This window comes from Homo sapiens, chromosome 8 (genome assembly GCF_000001405.40).
Source record: "Homo sapiens chromosome 8, GRCh38.p14 Primary Assembly".
NCBI classification, from domain to species: Eukaryota; Metazoa; Chordata; class Mammalia; order Primates; family Hominidae; genus Homo; species Homo sapiens.
Genome location: NC_000008.11, coordinates 35,272,736 through 35,294,987, shown reverse-complemented (window position 1 = coordinate 35,294,987; position 22,252 = coordinate 35,272,736). Strand labels below are relative to the sequence as shown.

The 22,252-nt window shown below is 38.1% G+C and overlaps 1 protein-coding gene across 17 annotated transcripts in view, besides 2 other annotated features; it reads right to left on the bottom strand.

Moving 5' to 3' along the window:
* Window positions 1-22,252, bottom strand: part of UNC5D (unc-5 netrin receptor D) — a 561,066-nt gene that overhangs the window by 501,553 nt on the left and 37,261 nt on the right. The gene's annotated exons all lie outside the window — the stretch shown is intronic.
* Window positions 7,825-8,325: an enhancer, noted in NCBI's record as "H3K27ac hESC enhancer chr8:35144181-35144681 (GRCh37/hg19 assembly coordinates)". NCBI's record gives its function as "activates a minimal SCP1, AML or CMV promoter by ChIP-STARR-seq in primed H9 embryonic stem cells {active_cell/tissue: H9 hESC(primed)}" and the evidence as "EXISTENCE:reporter gene assay evidence [ECO:0000049][PMID:30033119]".
* Window positions 8,326-8,826: an enhancer, noted in NCBI's record as "H3K27ac hESC enhancer chr8:35143680-35144180 (GRCh37/hg19 assembly coordinates)". NCBI's record gives its function as "activates a minimal SCP1, AML or CMV promoter by ChIP-STARR-seq in primed H9 embryonic stem cells {active_cell/tissue: H9 hESC(primed)}" and the evidence as "EXISTENCE:reporter gene assay evidence [ECO:0000049][PMID:30033119]".

The following is a 22,252-nucleotide window of genomic DNA, read 5'->3' as shown; positions in this document are numbered from 1 at the left end:
CCAGTAAATTGGGTATCACAGTACAAAGTGACCTCCCATGGTTCTTGCGTATTTTTCATTGTGTTTAGTACAATGCCATAAACTTCGAATAACACCACAGGATACATACACTTTCAAAGCACCACTAGTGATGCTGAGTGTTCCCAAGAATCAGAGAAAAGTCATGCCATTACAAGAAAAAGTTGAGCTGCTTAATACATACCGTAGATTGAGGTCTCCAGCTGTGGTTGCTATCCATTTCAAAATAACTGAATTCAGCATAAGGATAATTGTAAAAAAAAAAAAAAAAAGAAGAAAAGAAAATTTGTGAGGTCATCTCCGCAGCTACACCAATAGGTGCGACAACACTGCAGTTTTTGTGAAACACCTTTTTATTTCATGTTGAAAATGCAGCTTTTATGTGGGTACAGAATTGTTATAAGAAAGGCACCCCTATAGATTCAAGATTCAAGAGAAAGCAAAGCAAATTCATTATATGATACTTTGAGCAAAAAGAATTAAATGCCAGCAAAGGATGGTTTGATAATTTTAGAAAGTGATTTGTCTTTAAAAATGTCAAGATGACAGCTGAAATAGCTTCTGCCAACTAAGAGGCAGCAGATAAGCATCTAGATGCCATTAAGAAAATTATTGAGAAAGGATATCTACCTGAACAGGTTTTTAATGCAAATGTAAATGCTCTAGTCTGGAGGAGAAAGTACCACCTAGGACATTTATTAGTAAAGAAGAGAAGAAATTACCAGGACTTAAGGCAGGAGGCATACGCTAACCGTGCTGTTTTGTGCAAATGCAGTTGAGTTTAAAATTTGCATTGCCCTTATTTTTAAAGCTGCTAACTCCTGAGCCTTGATAGGAAAAGGGAAACACCAGCTGCCAGTCTTTGAGTTACATAACAAGAAGGCCTGGACAACAAAAATCCTCTTGGATTTATTTCATTGATGCTTTATCCCCGAAGTCAGGAAGTACCCTGCCAGTAAGAGACTGTCTTTTAAAGTTCTTTTAATACTGGACAATGCTCCTGAACACCCAGAACCCCATGTATTCAACACAAAGGTATCTAAGTAGCCTACGTACTCCCAAATACAATGTCTCTAATTCAGTCTCTAGATCAGGAATCATTAGGATATTTAAGGATCATTACACATGGTACCCTATGGAGAGAATTGTCAACACTATTGGGAGAGCCCCAATTGAGAGGACATCATTTAAGTGTGAACAAATTACAATATTGAAGATGCCATAACCGTTATAGTAAAAGCTATGAACGCCATCAAATCCTGACACAATAAATTCCTGTTGGACAAAATTATGTCCAGATGTTGTGCATGACTTTACAGGATTTACCACAGAGTCAATCATGGAAATCACGAAAGAGATTGTGGACATGGCAGAAAAGGTTGGGGGAAAGGGTTTCAAGATATGATCCTTGGAGAAATTCAAGAGCTAGTAGATACCACACCAGAGAAGTTGATGGAAGATGACTTGATGGAGATGAGTGCTTCCAAACCAGCACCAGATGATGAGGAAGACATAAAAGAAGTAGTGCCAGAAAACAAATTGACATTAGACAAGCTGAAAGAAGGGTTCCCATTATTCAGGACTGCTTTTGACTTCTTTTATGCTATAAACCCTTCCATGGTAAAAGCACTGAAACAACCAAATGGTGGAAGGAGTATCAGTAGCCTATGGAGACATTTTTAGAGGAAATAAAAAAGCAAAAATTCAGATAAATTATAATTTATTCCCATAAAGCTACATCAAATGTGCCTGCCTCTCCTGCCTCCCCTTCTACTTCCACTACCTCTTTCACTTTGCTGTCTCTGAGAGCAAACCCTCATCTTCCTCATCCGCCTCAGCCTAGTTAAAGTGAAGACAACAAGGATGAAGACTTTTATGATGGTCCACTTCTGTTTAATGAATAGTAAATATATTTTATTTTCCTTATGATTTTCTTAATAATATTTTTCTTTCTCTGTCTTACTGTATTGTAAGAATACAGCAGCCAGGCATGGTGGCTCACATCTAATCCCAGCAATTTGGAAGGCCGAGGTGGGTGGATCACTTGAGGTCAGGAGTTCAAGACCACCCTGGCCATCATCAAAAATTAGCCGCATGTGGTGGCACATGCCTGTAATCCCAGCTACTCAGGGAGCTGAGGCAGGAGAATTGCTTGAACCCAGGAGGCAGAGGTTGTAGTGAGCCGAGATTGCACCACTGCACACCAGCCTGGGCAACGAAGTGAGACTCTGTCTCAAAAAAAAAAAAAAAAAAGGAAAAAAAAGGAGGGACTACAGCATATAGCAAAATAACATACAAAATATGTATACATCATTTATGTTATTGTTAAGGCTTTCTATCAACAGTAGGCTATTAGTAGTTAAGTTTCACGGGATTCATAATTACACAAAGATATTTGACTCCACTGTGGGTCAGTATTCCTAAGCCCTGTGGTTTTCAAAGGTCAACTGTAAATTCAAGTTGCTTTTTTAACCATTTTTGAAAGCTTTGACCAATGTCCAACATTGCAATGCTACAATAATTAGAACAAAATTTTTCTGCTAGAAATGAATTAATAACTGAAGTTCTGAATATGCAGCATGCTCTAATCCTGGTTTTAAAAATCCCTAATGGGCTTTGTAGCAATGCAATTTGGCAAAGTGAGTAAAATCCTCACATAATAGATAAAGGTAATTAGAGATGCAGAACAAATTCTTTTTAAATGCCCTGAATGCAATTCGGACACTTTACTTCCTTCTTCAGAAATGGGAAACTAGTGAAGGGAAGAAATGAGACAAATCAAGAAAAGAATATGGGAAAATCGAACTGTATCAACCACAAAGGGATTTGGGGCTTGAGAGTTGTTAGAATTCCTTCTAGCTATTTTGACTTTCCAAAATCTCCCAAGAAACTGGCCAACTTGCAATTAGTGAATCTCTTTATTTAGAAATAGCCTAACTTCAATTAGCTTGCCAAAATGGGGGAAGAAACCTAGAAGAAAACCAGCGGGTGAATGTTCATGGATAACGAATATTTTTTCCATGGCTGTACAATCTCTTCTCATAACTAACAGCAATCATTCCAAAGAAGTACACATTTGTCTTCAGTATATGAAGAATAAATTGGTTTTATATCAAAAATAATCACCTGGTTAGACTTCAAACTGAAACTTATCTTTACAAAAAATGTGGCACTCTGAGCTACATCTATAACTGGTTACTTGAAATTCAACTACAAAAGAGAGAAATGAAAGAATGGAACAGAATAAATGGAATTTAGAATCAAGCGGTATCAGAAGTGGAATGTCCTTAAAGGCACACAATCCACCACCCAAACCAATGACACCATAAAGAAACAGCCCCAAGAAGTTACTGAAGTGTCTGAAAGCCAATCATTATATACAGGGAAAGCTGAGTCCAGAATGAAATCTTCAGTTTTCCAGCTCAGTTTTTTTCTACTGCAAAATCAGGCCCGTTTTCCCACCATCAGCTCCATAGGCCCATGGATGTGCTGAATTACTAAGCAAGTGATGGTCAGACACCAAGGATGTCATGTGAACCTGATGGAGACATATCCTTTATGGTACTTAGAATAGTTTGCTGGTTGACTTATACAACAATAAATAAGTGATTTCAAATTCCTTGTCTCTTTTTATTGTTTTTTACTTAAATTCTATTTTGTCTGATGTAAGTTAATTATCCCAGCTCTCTATCAGTTCCCATTTGCATGGGTAAACTTTCTCCATCCCTTCTCTTTCAGTTTGTTTCCTTACTAGTAATATGAGTCTCTTGTAGGTACCATGTGGTTAGATCTTGTTGTTTTTGTTGTTGTTTTTTCCATTCAGCCACTCTATATCACACAATTTGCTCCCAGCAAGGCAATTCTGAGAAACTCAGTTTCCACTTGGTTTACTGGGCATTGGTCTGAGGTTTAATTCTAAAATCCCTCTCCCACAAGGATAGCCAAAAGTAGCTGATTTCTGGTTACCCTTCCAATTTCTCTGACACTCTTTCTAGTCACACCTCTTTTTTTTTTTTTTTTTGAGATGGAGTCTCGCTTTTGTCGCCCAGGCTGGAGTGCAATGACACGATCTCAGCTCACTGCAACCTCTACCTCCCAGGTTCAAGCGATTCTCCTGCCTCAGCCTCCTGAGTAGCTGGGATTACAGGCACGCACTACCACACCTGGCTAATTTTGTGTTTTTAGTAGAGATGGGGTTTCTCCACGTTGGTCAGGCTGGTATCCAACTCCTGACCTCAGGTGATCCGCCCGCCTTGGCCTCCCAAAATGCTGGGATTACAGGCATGAACCACCGCGCCTGGCCTCCACACTTCTTTTTTTAAAATTAATATTTAAACATTTATCTTAGTTACTTTGAAGTATATAATACATTATTATTGACTATAGATGCCTTGCTATGCAATAGATATTAAAACCTACTCTTCCTGTCTATTAGAAACTTGGTAACCTTTGATTAACAACTTCTCATTCCCTCCCTCCCCAACCCCCTACCCTTACCCCAGCCTCTGGTAACCACTGTTCTACTCTCTAATTCTATGAGTTCAAAGTACAATCATACAGTATTTGTCTTTCTGTTCCTAGCTTATTTCACTTAGCATAAGGTCCTCCAGATTCATCCATGTTGTCACAAGTGACAGCATTTTCCCCTTTTTTAAGGTCTAAGAGTAGTTTATTATGTATATACACCATCTTTTCTTTATCCATTCATCCACTGATGGATGCTTAGGTTGCTTCCATATCTCAGCTATTGTGAATAATGCTGCAATGAACATCCCTTCGACATTGATTTCAGTTCCTTTGAATATATACCCAGAAGTGGAATTACTGAGTCATACAATATTTCTATCTTTAGTTTTTTGAGGAACCTCCATAATATATACATTCCCGCCAATAATATACAGAAGTTCCTTTTTCTCCATATCCTCTCCCAACACTTGCCTTTCATCATTTTGATAAAGACATTCTAATGGGTATGAGGTGATACCCATTATATAATTTATTTTTATTTTTATTTTTCATTTTTTGTTTCAGAGCCAGAGCCTCACTATATTGCTCTGGCTGGTCTCAAATGATCCCTCCTGTCTCAGCCTTCCAAGTGGCTGAAATTACAGGCAGATGCCACCATGCCTGGCTCTTTTATTGTGGTTTCGATTTTTCTAATGATTTGCAATGCTGAGCATTTGTTCATATACCTATTGGCCATTTATATGTCTTCTTTTCAAAAATGACTGTTCAAGTACTTTGCCAACATATAATTTGAGTTGTTTTCTTGCTATTGAATTGTTTGAGTTCATTATATATTTTGGATGTTAACCTGTTATCACACGTATTATTTTCATTCTCTTAAATTTGTTAAGATTTGTTTTGTGGCCTAATGTGTGATCTATCTGGAGAGTGTTCCATATGCATTTGAGGAGAATGTGTATTTTACCATTGTTGGATGGAATGTTCTGTACATATTTATTAGGTCTATTTGATCTAAATTACAATTCAATTCCAGTGTTTCTTTTCCATCTAGATGATCTGTCCATTGTTTAAAGTGTGGTGTTCAGATTCCCCTGCTATTACAGTATTGCAATCTATCTGTCCCTTCAGATCATTTAATAATTTCTATATGTATTTCAGTGCTACAATGTTTAGTGCACATATATTTACAACTTTTATGTCTGCTTGATGAATTAACTCCTTTGTCATTATGTAACAAACTTCTTTGTCTCTTTTTATTGTTTTTTACTTAAACTATATTTTGTCTAATGTAAGTTGGTTATCATTGCTCCCTTTTAGTTTCCATTTGCATGGAATACCATTTTCCATCCCTTCTCTTTCAGTTCATGTATCATTACTGATAAGGTGAGGCTCTTGTAGGTAGGATGGGGTTAGATCTTATTTCTTTTTTAATCCATTCAGCCACTCTATATCATTTCATTGAAGAATTTACACCACATATATTCAAGGTAATTATTGATAGGTAAGAACCTGCTACTGTCTTTTTGTAATTTGTTTCCTGATTGTTTTTTAGGTCCCTTCTTTTTTTCTTCCTTTCCTGCTGTCTTCCTTTGTGGTTTGATGGTTTTCTGTGGTGATATGCTTTGAATTCTTTCTTCTTACATTTTGTGAAACTGCTATAGGTTTCTACTTTTGTGGTGGTCATGAGGCTTACATAAAATATCTCATCCTTATGAAAGGCTACTTTAAGCTGATAACAACTTGCCTTTACATGCATATAAAAACTACACTTTCACCCTCCCAACAACTTTTATGATATTGAAGTCCAAATTTACATTTGTTTTTGTAATTTCTATCTCAACAATTTATTCTAGCTATAGTTGTTTTCAATTTTTTTGTGTGTTAACCCTCCTAGTAGGAATACAATTGTTTTATATACCACCGTTACAGTATTAGAGAATTCAGAGTATGACCAGGCATTACTTATACCAAAGAGTTTTTTACATTCACATATCTTTTGTTATTAAAAGCCTTTTCTTTCAGCTTAAAGAAACCATTTAGTAATTCCTGTAAAGCAGGCCTAGTGGTGATAAACTCCCTTAGCTTTTGTTTGTCTGTTTTTATTTGCTCGAAAGTTTTTTTTTTGTCCCTCATTTATGAAGAACAGCTTTACCAGGTATAGTATTTTTGGTTGATAGTCTTTCTTTTCCCCAGTATTCTGAGTATACCATCCCACTCTCTCATGGCCTGTGGGATTTCTGTTGAGAAATAAGCTGAAAGATGTACTGGGGCTCCCTTGAATGTGATATGCTTATTTTCTGTAGCTACTTTCTGTATTCTTTATCTTAATTTTTAATAATTTGATTATTATGTGTATAGTAAACTCCTCTTTGGGTTCAATTTGATTGGCAACCTCTGAGCTTCCATGAGATTATCTGTCTCCAGATTTGGGAATTTTTCAGCCATTATTTTCTTAAATATGCTGTCTAAGCCTTTTGCACTCTCTCATCCTTCAGGAATTTGTATTATGCAAAGGTTAGTCCACTTACTGGTGTTCTATAATTTTCATAGGCCTTCTTCACTCTTTTATATTGTTGATTTTTACTGCTTTGATTCGATAATTTCAAATGTCCTATATTTGAACTCACTGATTCTTTCTGCTGCTTAAATCTGCTTTAAAGTATATTTATTTATTTATTTATTATTTAGTCATTTTTTTTGAGACAGGGTCTCACTCTGTCACCCAGTGAGTGCAAAGGTGCAATCATAGCTCACTGCAGCCTCAACCTCCAGGGCTCAAGCAATCCTCCAACCTCAGCCTCTGAATATCTGGGACTACAGGCACACATCATCATTCCTGACTGAATTTTGCAATTTTTCTTTTTTTTTTTTGGTAGAGGCAGGTTTTCTCCATATTGCTTAGTCTGGTCTTGAACTCCTGGACTCAAATGATTAGCCGCCTCAGCCCCCCAAAGTACTGGGATTTCAGGCACGTGCCACCATATCCAGTCTTCTTTGAAGCTTTCTATTGACTTTTAGGGTTCAGTTATTATATCCTTTATCACTATGACTTTCATTTGATTTTTTTATTTGTTTCTTCCATTTCTCTGTCAAACTTTTCATTTTGTTTATAAACTGTTTTCTAAACTTCACTTAATTCTCTATCTGTATTTTCTTGTAGTTCCCTGAACTTCTTTTAGAGGATTATTCTAAATTCTTTGTCAGTCATTTCATAGATCTCCATTTATTCTGGGTCTATTACACAAGCTTTATTGGTTTCTTTTGGTGGTGTCATGTTGCCTGATTTTTCATTATCTTTGTGTCCTTATGCCTGTGCATTTGAGGAGAAAGCCAAATTTTCCAGCCTTTGCAGGTGTTTTTTGGTGGTTATAGATCTTTACCATTTAGTCTAGCCTGAGATTCTGGAGGGGTGGCTGGCAGCCTTTGCTTGGTGTCAGGTTCTATAATTGGGCTGAGCTGCTTCCTGTGCTCTGAGATCAAATAGTATTTCTGGCTGTGCTCTGTGATCAGTGAAACCACTAGCTGAACTTTGCCATCAGGTGAGGCTGCTGATTGGACTCTGCAGCCATGACTGATTAGGTAGAGTTGCAAGTTGTCTTCCCTGGCTCTGTTGTTTGGAACCTGTAGTTGGGCACGGCTGTATGACAGGCTCCCATGCTGGGTGAGATTTTTGTGGTTGTTACTCAGCCACACAAGGTGGACAAGGCCAGAGGATATGCCCTATAGACATGTGTGGACTTGGGCTTACCTACTGGTCTAGGGTAGAGTAGAACGCCAAGGTTTGGTGGTGGCCAGATGCTCTTTCCATGGGTAATCACTGACCTGCAACTGCCTCCTGGTTTGGGGAAGACATAATGAGAGCATCAGGGCTGAGTTGGATCATCTCTTCACTGCTAGGCTTGGGCAGGACCAGATATTGTGTCCATGAGTAATCACTGACATGCAGTTGCTTCTCTCCCAATCTGGGGAAGATTTCATGTGAGCGCCAGAACTTAGTTGGATTACCTCTCCACTGCTAGGGTCAGGCAGGGCCAGATGCTCCCTCCATAATCATTGGCTTAGAAGCACCTGGCAAATGTGGGGAAGCTCGCTAGGAATTCAAGCCTAGAAGACTTGTGGGCGGTGTTTCCTACAGTATGACACTGTTGGCTAGTTTCTCTGGTGTGGCACTCACTCCCAAGTTCTTGAATATTTGGGTTGGTATTCTTGCCTGTGGATAGTTGCTAGTTGGATTTCTGTGAGGTGAGTAAAGTTAAACAAAAATTCCTATTCCACCATCTTGTTGGTGTCACTCTGGGAAAATGGTCACACTTTCTTAAAGTCATATATATTGATTGTATTTGACAGACAGAGTGAAATGCAGCCCTATTTGTGATGATAATGTCTTTTAACAGTTGTCAAGACTGATTTGACAGAAGGCTACAGTCAGTCCTAACTGCCAAACAGCTTTTTCATTTTTATATAAAACTTTGGGGCCTCATAAATCGTTACTATATTTTATTTTTCCCTAAAAAATGACATACTCACAAACTGTGACTTACGTTTCTAATGTTTCTGTTTCTATGTTATTTTTTAAGATTATACTGTCATATAAAATGTGCTAACTGTACAATCACAGGACTTTCACCTCACTCGACTACAAAGTCCAAAATGTAGCTAGATAGAAAACTGCTTATAATGTTGATAGCCTCATTGTCAGATTCATGCATAAGGGAATTAATCTGTGGATTCCCCTGGCTATCTCTTGGGGTAAGGCTGACTTCTTACCCCAAGAGACAGGTAAAACACCCTTCACTGGGGCTCACCCAGAAAGACCTCTTCAGTAAGAAGCTTAACCTGTATACAGCAGTGATTACAATTCTTTGCTCTGGATTAAGAAAAACAAATTGTTTTTTCTAGATCCCTGAATAAATATAATTGATCAATTAGCTTGATTTTTACCCTTTATCTCACATGATAGCAAATTAAATGCTACCCAGAAAGCTTACTTGGATTCATCTATCACCACCTTGAAGAAAATTTAACGTTATTCACATATTCATAGAACACTAGAAATTGAACTTATGCAAAGCTTCATCTGAAACCAATTACTACTTCTAAACAAAACTAGAGCCAAACATTCGGGACAACGGTTATCTTCCAAATACTACAGAATGTCCTAGCATGAATGGCATAATTCTCCTAGGGAGACCCAGGGAAAGGTGTTTGCCCGAAAATAAGTTAGCCTTGTCCTGCAGAGAATAGGTTGGAAAAATACGCAGGCCTTTTCCTCATCCATGAGTCTAACAAGGACACTACTGCACTGTCAAGCAGTTTCATATCTGCCTAGCTGCAATTTGGAGTTGATAGGCCACAGAGGTGAAAGTCTTATGATTATACAATTTGTGGTATTGTATAACAGCATAAACTCAAAAAGTCACCAAAACATGAGTGTTGCTATGTAGTGAGTGTATCATTTAGGTATTGGTATCTATCTCAAAGCCAACTAGAATGAGTCTATTCTAAAATCACCAGTGATAAAGGTATCAAATAGGAAAAAAAGCACCCCAGGTCAAAAGAGGCAAATTGATTAAAAGAACTTTACTATATGTTATAGAGCTCAGAGAGAGAAATATTTTGCTTCTAGAAAATAAACATTATAGGCCAGGTGCAGTGGCTCACGCCTATAATCCCAGCACTTTGGGAAGCTGAGGCAGGCGGGTCACGAGGTCAGGAAATCGAGACCATCCTGGCTAACATTGTGAAACCCCATCTCCACTAAAAATACAAAAAAATAAAAAATTAGCTGGGTGTGGTGGTGGGTGCCTGTAGTATCAGCTATCCAGGAGGCTGAGGCAGGAGAATGGCGTGAACCTGGGAGGCGGAGCTTATAGTGAGCTGAGGTCGTGCCACTGCACTGCAGCCTGGGCGACAGAGTGAGACTCCGTCAAAAAGAAAAGAAAAGAAAAGAAACATTATATTTTAAATTAATTTCCCCAGATTTTCCTACTGCTAAATCAGAAAATAGATGTGGTTTATATGCCAGTGATAATGGATAAAGATAACTGTGAAATTGTCAGGAGGTAATGTATCTCCAACTCATTGCATTAAGTCTGGGATTTAGATGGATAGTGCTAGGAGTAGTGAAAGAAGGTAATATTTTTGTCATTCTTGTGCAAATAACATCTGTCACCAAAAGTAGTGAATTTTTTAAGCATTCAATTAAAAGATGGCTTTTTAACCTCTATGTTTCAAAGAAATAAACACTTGCTATTAGTTAATAAAAGTTGCTTATGCCCCCTATGAGTCCATAATAATTTCATATGCATAATTTTTAAACTCAGTATGATTTTTTCAGAGAAAAGCATACACTAGCATAATATAGTTTAATATAGTCTCATGCAGTCTTTATCTTATTTTATTTATTCATAAAACTGGCCAAGACCAAGATTTTCTGTTGATATTCTCACTAAATCTTCCTGCAATTTAAAATGAATCCATTCCAAAAAAGACTTCCTAGAGAAATTACTCTTGTTAAAACTTTCAAGATTTATTTTGAAGACTGTAGGTAATTGAATGAATCTAGATATAAATAGATCTCAACCTTGGCTGTGCTAGAATTATGTGGGGAACTTTGAGAAATGCTGATGCCTGGGCCCCATTCTAAAACAATTTAGGAATCTCTGAAGTTAGGACGTGGGTATGAGCATTTTTTTTTTTTTATTCGGAGTCTCACTCTGTCACTAGGTTGGAGTGTAGTGGCGCAATCTCAGCTCACTGCAACCTCCACCTTCTGGGTTCAAGAGATTCTCCTGCCTCAGCCTCCCAAGTAGCTGGGATTACAGGTGTGTGCCACCATGCCCAGCTAATTTTTGTATTTTTTAGTATTTTTAGGAGAGACAGGGTTTTGTAATTTTGTATTTTTAGTAGACACAGGGTTTTCACCATGTTGGCCAAGATGATCTCGATCTCTTGATCTCGTGATCCGCCTGCCCTGGCCTCCCAAAGTGCTGGGATTACAGGTGTGAGCCACCATGCCTGGCCAGGTATGAGCATTTTTAAAGCTCCGCAGGTGATTCCAATCCACATTTGAGGACCTCTGCTAATTTGTAATGTGACATGACGTGCCTCACTAATAGGGTTCTTTAATGTTTCACCTTCCATCACAGATATAATTAGAGGAAGTGGCCTGCTAAATATTGATGCTGCAGGCACAGACTTGACCGTGAACAGTTAGAAATCAACTCTTGTATTTGTATGCTGGGGACAAAAGTGACCAGAAATATTCTGACAGAGAATGATCTATTAAAAAAAAGATTACATGAGCAAATTTTCTCAAATTAAAAATTGTTCTCCTTTGTACATGACATAGTTTTGCTTTAATTTTCTTTTTCTCTACCATTGACAACCTCCAGAATGAAAACTACCCCCAAATAGCTTCCCAAGAGCATTAAATTACCAAATAAATAATGTTTGTGTTGATCACATTTCAACCGGTATTATTACTTTTAGCCAGCCTGGGAGTTATAAAACATTGAAAGTGTTAGTCAAGGCTGAAAGTCTATTAAGAGAAACATATGCATGCTTCCATACAGTAAAAAAGCTGCCCAAAAAAAGAGAGAATCCTTTATAAAGTACTTCACTCTAAATTTTAAAAAGTAAAAAGCCCTAATCAGTATATTTAGCAAGTTCCATTAGTACTATTTGAAGTAGCTGACTTTCCGTTAGCTGATGAATATTATTATTCCAGGATGGGATAACAAGAAGGAAAGGAAAGAAGGATATGCTGCTTTGGGTTGCTTTTTTTTTTTTTGTCTTTTAATAACTTGTTAGTTAAGCAAAATAAGTTCAGTTTAGAAATCACACATTTTAAAGAACACGGGAAGCATTTATATCTCAGATATTATGGTGCCGAATCAAGTTTTATGAACTCTCTTTCTATATTAATTTTGGTATCATAAAGTTGTTTAGGCAAAGTCATATATGCGGGACAAAAATATAAAAATCCTACCCCCTTCCTGACAACTCCTTATGCCCTATTGAAGAGACTTCACATGTGACAATAATTTCTGATAATCCAATTATAGAAGTAATTACAAAAGGGTATTAAGAAGGGTCATGGGATTGTTTAGTATAAGTTTGGCTTATTGTTCCTTACAAGAGGAATGTAGGCTACCATATTAAATTTACATAATTTGCAACCAAATTTTATCAGTAAACAGGTACAAAGAAAGGAAAATGAGGACAAGAAATTGTTCAAAAGGACTGGCAGCCATCAAGCTGACAGCATGCTGTCCTCCTTCGATGCTATGGTGCCATCAACAGCAGTATTCAGAGAGTGGCTGCTGTTTCATGAGGCATTTTAAAAAGAGACAAACTATGACTAGGTTACTTATCATAAGAAAAACAATTTGTTAGACCAAATTCCTGCTTCTGCAAATTGCTGTGAGCCTTTGGAGATTTAGAACTGCTCTTTACAGCTGAATCCGGCTTAGCTGGCTATTAAGTGATGGAAAATAATACGATATTTTAGTGCCTAAAAGAATAACCGAGTACATGTGCAGGGATAGGTCATTAAATGTGGATATTCAAAAGGTGGTATAAAAGTAACCCATACACAGAAAATGTAAAAGCAAAAAGGATATCTAGATTTAGGCTACATCATAACTCTATTCACCAAACCCAACGAAGTAAGCAGGCTAGGAATGGAGAGAAGAATATCTGCTTAGAAGTATCAAAGGCATGGCAGGATTTATTTCCCATCGTAATGAAGATGCAAGAACAGTGCAATGGGGCTGTCCTAGACCTCAGCTATAAGGCATGCTCACAGGAGAACATTCTGCAGGAATCCATCACACAGCCCATAAAAGGCTCTTCAGGGAAGGTAGCATAGCAATGCTAACCTTTCAAAAAGAAGAGGGCTGGGCGTGGTGGTCCATGCCTGCAGTCCCAGCTACTCAAGAGGCTGAGGCAGGAGAATCGCTTGAACCCGGGAGGCGGAGGTTGCAGTGAGCCAAGACAGCGCCACTGCACTCCAGCCTGGGCGACAGAGCGAGACTCCATCTCAAAAAAAGAAGAGGAGTTTGGCAAAAAAAAAAAAAGAAAAAAAAAGTATTAAAAGAGAAAGAGCTGTAATTACTCATTTGGTGCAAAGACCACTTCCACTCAGTAACATAGGTATAGCTCTTTGATAAATGGTGCCCCTTGTATAGCCGACTTAGTATGCAGACAGTCATCAAAATGTCTCTCTTTCTTTGAACCAGGGCAGGAGACGGCAAAGAGAAAATGTAGCATTGTCAGTAAAAAGAGGTGAATTTTCATCAGGGCAAAGAGTTAGAAGATTTGAAAAAAGGGCTTCAGTATAGAGAGGAGTTTGCCCACGGGGAGACGGATACACAGAAATGTGATCACAGAACCGAGATCTGAGGCACAGCGAAGGCCTGGTGAGGTGCTGAAGAGCTGAGTGAGTTCCGGCAACGGGAACAGAAAAAGAAGGCTTTGTGCCCAGAGTAACGGGGAAAAGGCATCAAGCTGAGAGATGTAATGAGTTGGGAGACAGGCACACATATGTTTGAAATAAATATCATTTTAGAACTCTATTTTTGTTAGGCAATGGGAAAGACTGAGAAAATTTGGGAATGGGAGAGACATCATTAGAATTGAGCATTAGAAAGATTAATCTGGCAACTGAAGATGGAATGAATCTATGGGGAAGGTAACCAGTGATAGAGAAGTCCACTGAAATACACTCTTTCAGGCAAGAGAAAACTAAGGCTAAACTGGTGGCAATAGAAATGAAAAGAGGCAGCAGTAGTAAACTAGACTGTAAATACATTTAAAGATACAATTTGTTTTAAGAGGTATCAGAGTGTTGCAAATATTGCCAAGACTATATGAACTCTATTTCAGTTGACAGTGGGTTAAGAGAATCACCAAAGAGAGGATGTGTTCCCTTTCATTATTAACGACCCCACCAACAATAACAACTACAACACTCACACAAATGCACAAGCACAACAATACCCACACAGAATCTCACAATCAATTCCAATGCAGAAATAAATATTTGTAAACTTAACTCTGGATCTAATGCATAACGTGAGACACAATGGACTCTCTCACTAAATATCAAAGGATTAAATACCACGATCTCACTACTGTCTTCTCCAAAAGACCCTTCATCACAGGTATTTTGCAGAGTAAGTGGAGACATTACAGATCCACCTCAATAAAGAAAAGGTAGCACATGCCTGTAATCCCAGCAATTTGGGAGGCCAAGGTAGGCAGATCACTTGAGTTCAGGAGTTCAAGACCAGCCAGACCAACAAGGTAAAACCCCAACTCTACTAAAAATATAAAAATTAGTGAGGTGTGGTGGTGGGCACCTGTAATCCCAGCTATTTGGGAGGCTGAGGCAGGAGAATTGTTTGAACCTAGGAGGCGGAGGTCTCAGTGAGCCAAGGTCATGCCATTGCATTCCAGCCTATGTGACAAAGTGAGACTCTGTCTCAAAAAAAAGAAAGAAAGAAAGAAAGTAAAGGTAGTTCTTTATAATGTTCATATGCTTGGACCTTTAACTGCATGATTGATGAGAGTGTGTTCTATTTCCACCATAAGAGTAGCCAGAATTCTGAAGTTTTCTTGATTATACAAGGCCAAGTCTATAGATTCAATTTTCTACTTTGGTTCCAATTTGCTCTAGCTAATTGGAAGCTGGGGATCTTTTGCCAACGGAAGAGCCAACAGCAACTGCAGTCTGAGCCTCTCTCTACCTCAATGTCTTTCTGAAGCAAAGCAAGTTCATTGCCTATCTGTTCATCTTCAGAGCATTATACATATGTGGAGGTAATCAGGTTAAAGGTAGAAGGAAAGAGTCACCAACGTGACTTGAGGTTTATGGGAGTAATAGACCTGGTTATTAACCAGCCATGGAAAATGATTCCACCACATTTTACATTTGGAATCTGTGTTCATTAATCACCATGGTGACCTACAACAAAAATACAATGCTGACAAGTTTTCTCTTCATTGCAAAGGGTCAGTCCACTTGGGGACAATTTGCCACCCACATGGAATTTATATTATTTTTACATTCTCTGGATATTGTAAAAGTTCATCACTGTATCTCAGAAACAGCTGGTTCCTATTCCCAATGTCATCTCTCCTCACTATAAATACAAACTCACCAAGGTACAGGTGGACAACTGAGTGAAGTACCAAATATTCCTTTTGAGTTTGTTTTATTTACCTTTTTCTTTCAGAAACACCGAAGGAAGGATGCCTTAACTCAACTCTGTAAGCATCAGACACTATTTACATAAGAACTGAGTAGACAGGCATTGAGTGTACACAGCATCATTAGAATTCAGCATACTCCGTGGCCTCCTCTGAGTAGCTCAGCAGGATGAGAGTTTCTGCTGGAGTTCGACAGAGCCTCCTAGGCTGGCGGTCATAGCAGGGAGCCTGGGACAGGGCAGAAATTGTATTTCTTCAAGGCTATAAATCCTGGCTCTTTCTTAGGGTAGATAATCACTCATTACTGGTGACAATAACTGGCACCCACCATACTAAACAAAACTTAACATTTAGTGGTGGATTATTTTTTAAAGATATCTGATAGCCAGGGGCAGAGAGGTGGGAAAATGAGGAGGTGTTCATCAAAGGTTACCAAGCTTTGTAAGATGAATATAGGATGAATAAGTGTAGAGATTTAAGGCACAGCATGATGACTATAGTTAATAATGCTGTACTGGGTTCTGGAAATTCACTAAGAGAGTAGATTTCAGGTGCTGTCATCACCAGAAAAACAAGGTTACTATGTGAGGAGATGAATATGTTAATTTGTTTGACTGCAATACTCTTCCACCATGTATACTTACATCAAAACATGTGTATACCATATACATATATAATTTTTATTTTAAAAATAATAAATAATAAATAAATTTACATCCCTAGCAACAACAGAAAAATGAAATTTGGTTCTCTAGGTAATGTACAGCTGCAAACACAATTATTTCCATCCCCCAATTCAAATATCCACTGAAATGACCAACTATTTTTTTAATAAGGAATAATCTGCTTATATTTTTCACAACAAAAAGAACAAGGATTTTTTTGCTAGATATAAAGCAGATGGAGTCAGACTGAGGAAAACCACCCTAATGAAGACATTTTAAATGTGAAGAAAGCGTGCACCTGGGAAGGTTGTGGAAGTGATCCCAGCTCACTACTGGCCATTAGGTAACAGTGTCAGGGCTGCTGATGAGTGTGGCCAGAGGGCAGCCGGAAGCACACGTGACTTTCCCAGTGCATCTGGGCGGCACAGCAGGAGTTGGAGGGCACTGTGAGCAGGGACCAGACATCAGAACTCAGTGCTAGATGAAGACTGGCTTTCACCAGGAATGAAGGATGGAGCCCAGTCCTGGCTGGCTGTTAAATCAGAAGCCCCAGACCAGGAAAGGAAGGGGGAGGCTAACTAACCCCTGCACACTAACTATAGAAAGAAACAGGCAACAAATAGGTCTGGCAGCCTCGGGTACTGAGTTTGCTTCTGGCCACCCCTGCCCAAGCTGCTGACTCTCAAATTTTCTCTCCTCCCTTCATTAAAGCCTGAATGATTTGAAGAACATTCAATACCATCTCTGAAAGAACCCACTGTAATTGCTACTCTTTGAAAAGCAAAGGTATTCCCCCATACATAAGCAAAATTTTGAAGAAGCAAAGTGACCATCTTCCCAAGAAAGACAACAAGAGATGGAAGTACTTATTTTAAATTTATTATTTTAGCAGAACTCAATAGCACACTGAATCTCTGACATGAGAGTAGAAGGTCATGAAAAGAAACAGTCAAGAGCAGGAAAAATAGAAAGCCCAGCTCACATAATGAGAGACAACAATGAGGGCCGTGAGCGGCAGTCAGGATTCTGGAAAAAAATCAAATCAGTAAAGTAAAAGCTTGAGAAAAGTCACCCAAGACTCAGGGGTAAGAATAAAGAGATGAAGATTAAAAAAGAAAAGCTAAATGACAATGAAGGCAGGTACAGGACATTCAATATGCATTATAGGAGCACCAATCAGACAACAGAGAGGACACAGAAAAAGAATTATCAAAGAAATGTAATCAAAAACTCTCCACAATTGAGAAAATGCTCCAAAAATGCACAATCCATGTACTAGCCTTTAAGAAACTGCCCTAAGGATATATTCCTGCCAGCAGACACAGCAATAGTTTCAATGCTAATTTATTAATTTACAGCAATAGATAACTGTCCCAAGCACAGTTGTTCCCAGATCAAACTGGGGGTTGGGCTGCTATTTCTCATGTCCCAATAATGAGATGCAGATGAACTGGAGAGGAAAAGAGTTTTTATTTCTGTAACCGGTTACGGGGGAAGGCCTGGAAATTATCGCCAGACCAACTCAAAATTACAAAGTTTTCCAGAGCTTATATAACTTCTAAGCTATATGTCTATGTGTAAGTGTGCATTCATCTAAAGACATTAGTGATTAACTTCTTTTAATCTATAAGTTCTGAGTCCTGAAGACCTTCTTCTGGAGCCTCAGTAAGTTTACTTAATCCAAATGGGTCCAGGTGCTAGGGTGATAAACCTTATTTTGTCTCCTGCTAAATCATAAAGGTTTGATTTAGTAAACCTCCAAGTAAACTTGTTTAATCATGCCTTAAGGTTCAGGATTGGACTAGGCAAAACTCTGTGGGCTTTTGTTACATTACAGCCTCTGTATAAGAGCACTGGCTTTTAATATTTCACCTAACCACTCAGTCAGTACTGAAACAGTTGCTATGGAGGCTAGTGAGACCTGGTCTGCCACACTATATCATGCAAAAATTCCCCTGATTTCTTCTTGCATACAGACCTACATGGGAGATTATATCATAACTCAGAAAATTGCTTAGTGAATGTGGAATCAAAACAAGTGAAAAGAGATGGACAAATCAAAACTTTAATGATATCAGCTTAAGGTAGCTACATGCAACTATCTCAAAATATGTACAGCCATGCTGATGACTTGAAAGTGCCTGAAGTACACTGACAAATGCTCAGCCTATGTTGGAAAGTGCTGGCACCGATCACATGGGACTCCTTGACATCCGTTGTCTACGCATCTGAGTCTGACACTCTGATGGGTTATTTATTAGCTGTGCTAATTCAACCAATTAACTTCCAGTCAACTCTTGCTGACCCAGAAGCAATTCTGATGTTAGGGGGGAGAAAAAAAACAACTTCCACATATATAAACTTTGATCTATTATATGTCAATATTCAATTTAACACTCAGAGGGCAAGCTTACTGCTGTTATCATGTTATTATGGGACAAATCAGTGTAAACCTCTTTACTGACAATTTATTCTGAGGATTTCAAAAATTTATTAAGAAGAGTGATTAAATAGATGTACACTGAAATCTTCACAACCTGCCAATAAAAAAACACGTTGTATCTTCAATTTCCATGAATCATTAACAAAAAATTGATCCTATATTAAACCACAAGGAAATCTTCTATCTCTACCCACCCCATCTTCCAAACAATGGACTCAGTACATGGACATATCCCATTTATCTGGCCATACATCCCTAATCCCTTAGAAATGTTAAACTATTTTGTTTCCAGAAGGTCTTGGTGTGATGAGAAAAAAAATGTAATTATAAATAAAAACTACTTACAATATAGGTGTATAAAAGTTAAGGCACACAAACAAAACTGAAGTTAAAGGCAAATCAATGGCACTTTACATATGTTACTTCAAGCCCCAGGAGATAAACTTGACTATGCCCATTTTACAGATGAGGAAACTGCCACAGTGATTTCCTCCAGGTCACACAGAGAGTAAATGGTGAAGACAAGATTAGATTCTACGTATGCCAGATGGCAAGCCATGCTTGTCAAAATACAACCGGGCTTCCACAAATAATGAAAACAATTAAAATAAGCATAACTTCATGGAGCTGAAATGTGCACAAACAAAACAAAAATAACTAAGAAAATGAATAAAAGATTTCACCGATATTGCCCCAGAGAAAAGAAAACCAGGTCATGTTCTTCTGTATGAAAGACACATTTTGCCACATTGACTTGTCACAATGATACTGATTTATATTTATGGAATTTTTTTTCAACACTCTTTACCTGACATTAGGACACATTAATTTATTTATAACAGATGGTGATATCTGTTATGAAATTTTGATTCAAAATATTAGATTTCTTCTACCCAAGGTCTTTGGGAGGAAGGGTAGTAGGAAAGATAGGAAATAGGTGGGAGTGAAATGTGGTCAAAATAGGTAGCACAAAAGGAGGGAGCAAGTGAAAGGGGAAGAGTGCAGCTTTGTCTTCTTATTTCATTATGTTTTCATAAATATATATATATATAAAAATATATATTTTGTTGTTGTTTTGTTTTCTTTTTTTGAGACGTTGTCTTGCTCTGTCACCCAGGCCAGAGTGCAGTGGTGCGATCTTGGCTCACTACAACCTCCACCTCCCAGGTTCAAGCAATTCTCCTGCCTCAGCCTCCTGAGTAGCTGGGATTACAGGCACCTGCCACTACGCCCAGCCAATTTTTTGTATTTTTAGGAGAGACGGGGTTTCACCATGTTGGCCAGGCTGGTCTCAAACTCCCAACCTCAGGTGATCCACCTGCCTTGGCTTCCCAAAGAAAAATATATTTTTTAGAATTGATAAAATTTTTAAATATTTTATGCATATATTAAATCATTTTGCCAACAAAAATGTTCTTGGGTTGTGGTTGCCTATGATTCAAATACATTTTCAATATTTCAAATACAAACACAAACTTTTACATCATAAAGCTGCAGGTCAGCCCACCTGTGTTAGGAGACAAATAAAATGATGAATTGATGTTGTTATCCAAGTCTGCCACCAAAGGACAAAACGTGGCATATCACACAGCAATGAGATTTGGAGGTTCTCTTCAGGCTGATATAAACGCTTGTCATCAATCCACAGGCCGTCGTCTTCTAGGCTGGACACATGTGCACACTCACAACCACACTCACAGGCCACACACCAGAGGTGCTGAACTTCATCCAATATCTGCTGGATAAACAGGTTACAAATACAATCTGGCTAGACAATTATTTTCTCTCCCTTTTGAGGCAGTTTAGTCTCTTAGAACACGAGTGCCGCTATGCTGAACTTAAGCAATGAGTTCTTAAGACAAATCCTTCTCTAGAGATTTGCTAAATCATCTGAAGAAACCATTTCACTCTCGGCTTTTCACCCTGGCAGTCCTTTTGCACTGTGGTGTCTTTAAAAACTCGCCTTTACACCATAGTAGGAGGAACTTATATATTCTGATGACTAAGAAAAGATTTTACTCTCTAAATGCCACCTGGTACCAGCAAGCTCTTTTGAACTTTACAAAGACAAGATTTGAGATTCTTAAAGGTTAAAATGAGCTCCATTCAGACCATAATTATGCTCAGTCAGTTGAGGTAGACAAATGAATCCTCATTACTGAGAAAGTTTAAAAAAAAAAAACCACGATAAATTGACATTAATATAAAAACTCCATAAAAGGCATAAAAATGATACTGGGAAGCCTATGAGAAAATGAAATGCTTTGGGTTGTTAAGCCTGTATTTCTCCCAGGGTTATAAATAAAATTTATGAAGGAGGATGTTAAATTTATAGTTAACAAACTTTTCCAGGCTTTGTGGACACTTAGTAAGAGTTTTCTGACCCAAGCTTACTGGAAAAGCAACCGATTTTATGCAAGCCAAAAAACACCCATCGGTCAAGTGGCAAGAATTTTCAAATATTACCATCCTAGAGTGGTTATGATATGAGACTAAAACACTGAAATTAAAATGAGTATCTTTTTCCTGAGTTTCAGCTATTAATTTTCCCTAATTTCCTTGGGGAAAAATACTTCTGAAATCCACCTTTTGGGGAGCTTTCTAAACATAAAGAAAACTCTTTAACACTGTGTTTCCCACCACAATTCAGATTGACTTACACAGAGGGAAGTTTTTATTCCTTAAGTCTGAAAGAGGCCTTGCTGTAAGCTTTTTCATCCTAATAATATCCGCTGTGGCAGTTCAAAATGAAAAGTTGGGGCAAGGACCTTCAGTACTTAAATTACGCCTACTGACTCCATCTTGAAACACCTATCTATTTCTTCACAGTTATTTATGTGTGTGTTAACATGTTGTGTAGCAACAGAACGATAAGATACATGCATTACCAAACTCTTATAATCGTTTTAATTGACTCTAGTTGATTAATTCGGGAAGTGCTGTTTTATTTGGTGTTGTGTCTGGGGACTCCAAAAACTTGTATCTGAAAAGATTATTGAGATACTCCATATTTAGCCAAATGAATGAATGCTGTCAGTTAAGTCCAGATTCCGTCTTTAAGACAAAAGCACTCATTCTCCTGCCTACTGGGAGTATTGGTGGCTGACAACTTTCAGTTGTCCTCCCCATTCATGAGCCCTCCTCACCCACAATTTGCTTAGAGCAATTGCTTAGACCAGAGTTCCTCAAATTATATCAGTCTTTGGAGCCTCTCCTGGCATTCCTTAAATTAAAAGTGATACCTAATGTACTGTTTAATAAGTAGCTCAAACAGCTTAATAAGTATTCAAGTCCCACTAGGCACTACACAACTTTTCAAACTCTGGAAGACTGGACATCACCACCCTTGTTTTCTATTTTACTTTGAGTTTCACATGTTACTTGCTTTTTAATCACAGTGACTACTGAAAACCTGGTTTTGGAAGGAAAACTGCAATCTTATGTA